This window comes from Homo sapiens, chromosome 10 (assembly GCF_000001405.40).
Source record: "Homo sapiens chromosome 10, GRCh38.p14 Primary Assembly".
In the NCBI taxonomy this organism is placed as follows: domain Eukaryota; kingdom Metazoa; phylum Chordata; class Mammalia; order Primates; family Hominidae; genus Homo; species Homo sapiens.
In genome coordinates, this window is record NC_000010.11 from 37,889,280 (window position 1) to 37,898,157 (window position 8,878).

Consider the following 8,878-nt stretch of genomic DNA (forward strand, 5'->3'; position numbering starts at 1 on the left):
CTTACTTCTACTTCTTAACTGTGATATTTCAACCACATATATTTAATACAATTTTTTAATGTTTGGATTCATATTATTTTGCTGAGTGTTTCCTCCTTGCTCATTTGTTCTTTTTCCTTTTTTTCCTCGTTTTCTCTCATTTGGATTGATAATTTTTATTTTGTTTTATCTCCGCTGAATTCTTGTTAGTATTACAGGTTGAGCATCCCTAATCTGAAAATCTGATATCTGAAATGCTAAAAAACCCAGAACTTTTTGAGGGCCAACAGGACACCACAAGTGGAAAGTTCCACACCTTATGTGATGGGGCACAAAGTGTAGGGGCACAACACATAGTTTATTCAGTGTCCCTAAGGGAAAAAGACTCTCTCAACCCCCTTTAGCCGTGATATATCTTTGTATACATGCATAGTATATTAGTCCTCGCATTGCTATATGCATTCTCGCATTGCTATAAAGAACTACCTGAGACTGGGTAATTTATAAAGGGAAGAGTTTTAATTGGCTCACAGTTCTGCAGGCTGTATAGGAAACATAACTCGGAGGCCTCAGGAAACTTACACTCATAGTGGAAGGTGAAGGGCAAACAAGCACGTCTTATGTGGCCAGAGCAGGAAGAAGAGAGAGAGGTGGGAGGTGCCACACACATTTAAACAACTACATTTCTTGAGACCTGTGTCACGAGAACAGCACCAAAGGGGGGAAATCAGCCCCCATGATGCAATCACCTCCCACCAGGCCCACCTCCAGCATTGGGGATTGCAATCCGACATGAGATTTGGGCAGGGACACGAATCCAAACCATATCACCTAGATTCCCTCACACAAGTACTCCCTCAAAGGACAATATACAAATATTCCAAAATCTGAAAAAATAAAAAATCCAGAAACACCCGGAATCCAAAACACTTCTGGTCTCAAGCATTTCAGGTAAGGGATACTCAGCCTGTACTTCTTTCTTAATTTTTCTTTTAAGTGGTTGCCCCATGATATACAATAAGCATTATCAGTTTATCAGTCTCCTTTCAAGTGGTATTATACTATTTCACATATAACCTTAGAATCTTACAACAATGTAAGATTTAAGATTTGATACAGCTCCATTCCGTCCTCCCATTTTTTCTTTTTTGTTTTTTTGATACGGTTTTGATCTGTTGCCCAGGCTAGAGTGCAGTCACACAATCACGGCTCAACTTCCCGGCCTCAGGTGATCCTACCACCTCAGCCTCCTGAGTAGTTTGAACTACAGGACATACCACTATGTCTGTCTAGTTGTTTTGTATTTTTAGTAGTGACGAGCTCTCACCATGTTGCCCAGGCTGGTTTTGAGTTCCTGGGCTAAAGTCTTCCTCCCTTTGTATGTGATATTGTAGACATATGTTTTTACTTAGAGACCCCACAATGTATCAGTAGTATTTTTGCTCTATAAAGCCAGTCGTCTTTTATAATGATTTAAAAGTCTTTTATATTTGCCCCCCATTTTGAAAACATTTTAGGCATTCTTAATATCTTTGTGTATCTTCCTCCTTTTGTGTAAATAACTTCCTTTAGTATTTCATAAAGCAAAGCTCTGTTGGCAGTGAATTTTCTGAGCTTTTGTTTGTCTAAAAAAAACTATCTTTGTTTGTAAGATTTTTTTTTCTCTGGGTATAGAATTCTAGGTTGACATTTTTTTTTCTCCATACTTTAAATATTTCATTCTGTTGTCTTCTGACTTAGATATTATTTCCTGCTGTAATTTAAAAATCTTTGTTTTTCTGCATTTAATATCCTGTTTTCTCTGGCTACCTTAAAGATTTTCTTTTTATCCTTGGTTTTTAGCTGTTTGGCTATGATATTTATAGATTTTGCCTTTTGTGTGTGTGTGGTATTTTTCTTTCTTGCTGTTCTCTCACTTTTCACAACTGTGGTTTGATGTTTTTCATCTTTTTTCCCTGGGTCTCCAGTTGCTTGTATATGTCTGTTATCCCATAGTTCTTAGATATTTTGCATTAGGAGAATTTTCCGCGTGCTTCTCTGTGTCGGCTGTTAGCTATCCCTCCAAGCCTGTGTCTCCCTGCTCTTGCCCCTCTGCCAGCAATAGGCTGCTGCTCCCTGTTACTCTATGCCATGCTTGTGGTGGGGGCAAGGGTGTTCTCTGTTGTTCTAACACAGCCTTAGTCATAGGCAGGCCCTGTGTGCCTGGGCCTCAGCATGGAGGCTTTCACCATGTACAGTCAGCCCTCTGTATCTGCAGGTGTGGCAGGGCTAACTGTGCGACTTGATCATCTGTGGATTTTGGTATCTGAGGGAAGTTCTGGAAACAATCCCCTGCAGAGCCTGAGGTATAACTGTACCTGCTTCTTCTTCAGTGTTATGAGACCTCTATTTTTCTGTCAGTAAAGGATCCTGGGCCCAATGTAGTTCTGCACTCCTGCTGTAGGGATAGAGGGCTTTTTTGCACCCTTATTCTCCTATACTCCCACACTAGGGGATCCAGACTCTAGGCCGTCACCTTAGGTTGGTAGCTTGCTTTAAGGAAAGGAAAATAATTCCTCTCAAGGATAAGCATCCCCAATATTCTCACTTACAGTTAAACAAAACATGAGCTTAAAACCAAAACCTGATGAAATAAGTCATTTGTGAGAGTAAACAGAAATAATGGAAAATATATTTTCAAACACCCATTAATTAAGACCATGGATTTATTAGTAATTATAAAACAACCATGTAAGACACATTCAGAGTAGTAGAAGAGGAAATAAAAGGAGTAAGGAAGAAGGAATGTCTGTCAGTACAGATTACTGAACACTACATTTAACATTTAAAAAGAATTAAAATTGGATTGATCCTGCAATAAATTATAAAAACCATACCTTTTGCATATTTTTTTAGTAAAATTCTAATAGCAAATACAGGAAGAGAGAAAATGAACCCTAAAAGAATGCTTGAGATGGGAGTATTGGTAAATAAGTGATAGGAATTTAGGAAACATAGGTAAATCTAAATTATGTTTGTATAAAATAATAATGATACTTACTTTGTAGCGCTAAAAAAGACACAATTATATAATAAACAATAGTTGCATATAAATGAGGTGGGGATAATCAAATTGTGTTTCAAAATCCTTCTGTAATTCAGAAAAGAGGTTTACGATATTAACTCACTTTGGTATGTGGCATATAATGGATATTGTATCATTAGTTAACTAACTCTGGATCTTGATGAGTGAGAAAGCTTGGTAAAATTTAATGGGTAGCCAACCATTGAGAAACTGGTATAGTATAACTTCCAAAGATGTAAAGAAGAAAAAATGGGAAAATATCAAAAAAACAAAGTACAAAAAGAAGAAAGGTGCAGTGGATATCGTAGGAAAACTCTGACAAATACAAGATACAAACTAACATTTAGGAGACAACTTGATATGTTTTCAGTAATCACCATAAATTACCTGTTGAAAAACAATAAAATTGAATCTTCAAAAAATAATAATAAGCTCTTGCTATATCCATGATACAAAGTTTTGGTCTGATGACCTTCCCCTTTCTATTTCCAGTGCCTTTGGCCACTCACGCAGTGTTTTACCTGCGGTCAGGAGTCTGGGAGGATGTTCTGATACCCTGCAAATTGGCAAGAACTGAAACTAAAATCATTACTGACAAATCATAAATCTTCCTCACTTATCTTATTTGTTACATTCTATAAGCCTGCTGCTCTCACAAATGACCCTCATAATGTTATTTTACTTTTGTCTTTCCGTCATCCTTTCTTAATGATGTTAAGTAACTGTCTGTTATTGGGATGGGTGTGGTGGCTCACGCCTGTAGTCCCAGCACTTTGGGAGGCCGAGGTGGGTGGATCACTTGAGGTCAGGAGTTCGATACCAGCCTGGCCAACATGGTGAAACCCCATCTCTACCAAAAATATAAAAAATTAGCCGGGTGTGGTAGCACATGCCTGTAATCCCAGCTAATCAGGAGGCTGATGCAGGAGAATCACTTGAACTTGGGAGATGGAGGTTGCAGTGAGCTGCGATCATGCCACTGCACTCCAGCCTGGGTGACAGAGCAAAACTCCATCTCAAAAAAAGGCCAGGCACAGTGGCTCACACCTGTAATCCCAGCACTTTCGGAGGCTGAGGGGGGTGGATCATCTGAGGTCAGGAGTTCAAGACCCACCTGGCCAACATGGTGAAACCATGTCTCTACTAAAATACAAAAATTAGCTGGGCAAGGTGGCGGGTGCCTGTGATCCCAGCTGCTCGGGAGGCTGAGGCAGGATAATTGCTTGAACCCAGGAAGCAGAGGTTGCAGTGAGCTAAGATCACGCCACTGCACTCCAGCATGGGTGACAGAGCCAGACTCCATCTCAAAACAAAACAAAACATATCTATTACTATTTTACTTTTGTAAACTGTCTTCTAAATATTTTTATATTTTATATTTTCACTTTTCACTCATACCACCTGAAACACTAACCATTACAACCCCTGCCTTGTGGGTTCAAGTGGTAGAAGAACACCATTTAAAACTTGATATGTTTCATACAAATAAAACCATTCCTCTGACATTTTTCTTCTCTTTTTTTCTTTTTCTTTTTTTTTCCTTTTGAGACAGAGTTTTGCTCTTGTTGCCCAGGCTGGAGTGCAATGGCGTGATCTCAGCTCACCGCAGCCTCCACTTCCTGGGTTCAAGCGATTCTCCTGTCCAGCCTCCCTAGTAGCTGGGATTACAGGCATGTGCCACCATACCCAGCTAATTTTGCATTTTTAGTAGAGACGGGGTTTCTTCATGTTGGTCAGGCTGGTCTTGAACTCCCAACCTCAGGTGATCCTCCCTCCTGGGCTTCCCGAAGTGCTGAGATTACAGGTGTGAGCCACCACGCCTGGCCTCCTCTGATATTTTTCTAGAACACTGTTAACTACTAGTTTTCCTTGCCCCCTCATTCTCTGCATGTCCCATTTCTAGATTAGCCATTTTTATATTTATATTATTTATTTTATATATTTTTAGTATCATTTTTATATCTAATGTTTTATGTCATTATTTGTGTCTATTCTATATTCACTGTGCTTTATGGTTATTTGTAACCTCTGTGTTGTTTCAAAGTACGTATTTGTAAATTGCCCATTGTGTGTTCTAAATTTCCACCCTACTTTCCACATTATAAGGTTTCATGTTTATTTTCTTCTAGCCAAAGGGCTGGAGGAGATTAACACTTTTTGGATTACTTTATTCCAGGAAACTAAGTCAACTACATATAAAAGCGCGTATGTATGTAAGTGTAATTTCATCACAAATATCACAAGACTCATAAGTTGTGGTTATTTTTTCTTATTTCTAGAAGTCTGCAAAGTGGATGATCAACTAGAGCACTGTCAGGAAATCCAGGACAGACATATCTGGCAAGCTCCATATATCAACAATAGAACACTGACTATAGAGAGAGGTAACATAGTAGGAAAAGTGTTTGATTTCAGCATACACCAACTTCCTTCCATAAAAATACCTTGTAAATGTGACTTATGTGGTATGAGTTTGCAATACATTTCAGATTTATTTAATAGTAAGAAAAACTATTTAAGAAAGATGCCTCATGACCTCAGTGCATATGGAAAACTATTCCTCAATAGTAACCATGAAAAAACTCATATGGAAGAGAAACCTTATGAGTTTATTCAAAATGGAAAATGTCTCAGTCATAAGGAGGACTTCATTTCATATCTGAGAATTCAAAATTTAGAGCAATCTTTTGAATATAAGGAATGTGAAAAGGATTTCTATGGAAAGGCAGTTTTCATTACATATAAGCAAGCTTACACAGGAGCGAGTCCTTGTGTACACAATGAATGTAATAAAGTGTTCTGTAATAATTCAACTCTCATGGTCCATAAAATGTCAGAAAAAAGAGAAAACTTTTATGAGTTTAATGAATATGAAAAAACCTTTGAGAAGTCCCCTTTCTTGAAACATAAAGTTCATTTGGAGGTGAAACACTATAAACATATTGAAAGTGTAGGAATTTTAACAGATCAAGCTTTCCTAACACAAGAGAGAAAATATTTGAAAGTAACAAATCAGGGGAAGCTTTGTGCGAGAAGTCAGTACTTAATGTAACTCAGAGAACACACAGAGGAGAGGAAGTCTGTGGATGTGAGCCATGTGTAAAACCATTCTATGAAAAGTCAAAGCTAACCAAACATCAAAGAATCCATACAGGGGAGAAACCCTATGAATGTAATAAATGTGAAAAATGCTTTTCTAGGAAATCTCTCCTCACTCTACATCAGAGAGTCCACACAGGAGAGAAACCCTATGTAAGGAATGTGGGAAATGCTTTTCTAGGAATTCACACCTCATAATACATCAGAGAACTCACACAGGAGAGCAACCCTGTGAATGCAAGGAATGTAGAAAAAGCTTCTATCATAAGTCATATCTTACAGTACATCAGAGAATTCACACAGGGGAGAAACCCTATGAATGTAATCAATGTGGAAAAACCTTCATAAGCAACTCTGTTCTCACAATACATCGTAAAACATATACAGGTGAGAAACCCTATGAATGTAATGAATGTGGGAAATCTTTCTCTAGGAGTTCATATCTTACAATACATCAGAGAACTCACCCAGGCGAGAAACCCTATGAATGTAAGGTATGTAGCAAAACCTTTTGCCACAAGTCTGATGCCACTAAACATCAGAAGACTCACCTAGGGGGAAAACCCTATGAATGTACTCAATGTGGGAAAACTTTTAGTCGTAACTCAGGCCTAAAAGTACATCAGAGAACACATGCAAAGGAGAAACCCTATGAATATACTGAGTGTGGGAAATCCTTCTCTGAGAAATCAGTCCTCACAGTACATCAGAGAATACACACAGGGGAAAAACCTTATAAATGTAATGCACGTGGAAAAACCTTCTACAATAAATCAGACCTAACCAAACATCAGAGAACACACACAGGTGAGAAGCCCTGTGAATGTAAGGAATGTGGGAAATTCTTCTCTAGGAATTCATACCTTACAATACACCAGAGAATGCATACAGGAGACAAACCCTATGTGTGTAAAAAATGTGGGAAAACCTTCTACCATAAGGCAGACTATACAGTACATAAGAGAACACACAGAGGGGAGAAATCTTATTACTGTAATAAATGTGGGAAAACCTTTATTTGCAACTCAGTCCTCAAATCACATCAGAGAACACACACAGGGGAGAAGCCCTATGGATGTAATGAGTGTGGGAAGTCCTTCTCTGAGAAATCAGTCCTTACTGTACATCAGAGAATACACACAGGGGAAAAACCTTATAAATGTAATGAATGAGGGAAGTCCTTCTATCATAAGTCAGATCTCACTAAACATTAGAGAACACATACAGTAGAGAAACCCTATGAATGTAATCAGTGTGGGAAAAGCTTCAGTTGCAGCTCAGGCCTCAAAGTACATCAGAGAAGTACAAGGGAGAAACCCTATGAATGTAACCAGTGTGGGAAACCCTCTGAGAAATCAAGTCTCATAGCACATCCAAGGATACACATGGGAAAAAGCTTATAAATGTAGAAATGAGAGAAATCTTTCTCAAGCAATTCATACCTGAAAATACGTAGGAGAAATCAAATAGGACATGACCCCTGTGAATGTAAAGAATTTGGCAAACCTTTTACCATAAGTCATCTTCCAAAGTAAATAAGAGAATAGACGGGGAGGAGCCAAGATGGCCAAATAGGAACAGCTCCGGTCTACAGCTCCCAGGGTGAGCGACGCAGAAGACGGGTGATTTCTGCATTTCCATCTGAGGTACCGGGTTCATCTCACTAGGGAGTGCCAGACAGTGGGCGCAGGTCAGTGGGTGCGTGCACTGTGCGCGAGCCGAAGCAGGGCGAGGCATTGCCTCACTTGGGAAGCGCAAGGGGTCAGGGAGTTCCCTTTCTGAGTCAAAGAAAGGGGTGATGGACGGCACCTGGAAAATCGGGTCACTCCCACCCGAATACTGCGCTTTTCCGACGGGCTTAAAAAACGGCGCACCACGAGATTATATCCCGCACATGGCTCGGAGGGTCCTGGGCCCACGGAGTCTCGCTGATTGCTAGCACAGCAGTCTGAGATCAAACTGCAAGACGGCAGTGAGGCTGGGGGAGGGGTGCCCGCCATTGCCCAGGCTTGATTAGGTAAACAAAGCAGCCGGGAAGCTCAAACTGGGTGGAGCCCACCACAGCTCAAGGAGGCCTGCCTGCCTCTGTAGGCTCCACCTCTGGGGGCAGGGCACACACAAACAAAAAGACAGCAGTAACCTCTGCAGACTTAAATGTCCCTGTCTGACAGCTTTGAAGAGAGCAGTGGTTCTCCCAGCATGCAACTGGAGATCTGAGAACAGGCAGACTGCCTCCTCAAGTGGGTCCCTGACCCCTGACCCCCGGGCAGCCTAACTGGGAGGCAACCCCCACCAGGGGCACACTGACACCTCACACGGCAGGGTATTCCAACAGACCTGCAGCTGAGGGTCCTCTCTGTTAGAAGGAAAACTAACAAACAGAAAGGACATCCACACCAAAAACCCATCTGTACATCACCATCATCAAAGACCAAAAGTAGATAAAACCACAAAGATGGGGAAAAAACAGAACAGAAAAACTGGAAACTCTAAAAAGCAGAGCGCCTCTCCTTCTCCAAAGGAACGCAGTTCCTCACCAGCAACGGAACAAAGCTGGATGGAGAATGACTTTGACGAGCTGAGAGAAGAAGGCTTCGGACTATCAAATTACTCTGAGCTATGGGAGGACATTCAAACCAAAGGCAAAGAAGTTGAAAACTTTGAAAAAAATTTAGAAGAATGTATAACTAGAATAACCAATACAGAGAAGTGCTTAAAGGTGCTGATGGAGCTGAA

General features: G+C 40.3%; 1 pseudogene, besides 1 other annotated feature; it reads left to right on the top strand.

Annotated features, from left to right (window-relative positions):
- ZNF33CP (zinc finger protein 33C, pseudogene) lies at positions 5,316 to 7,656 on the top strand (annotated as a pseudogene).
- Positions 7,944 to 8,472: an enhancer, noted in NCBI's record as "H3K27ac-H3K4me1 hESC enhancer chr10:38186151-38186679 (GRCh37/hg19 assembly coordinates)". NCBI's record gives its function as "activates a minimal SCP1, AML or CMV promoter by ChIP-STARR-seq in primed H9 embryonic stem cells {active_cell/tissue: H9 hESC(primed)}" and the evidence as "EXISTENCE:reporter gene assay evidence [ECO:0000049][PMID:30033119]".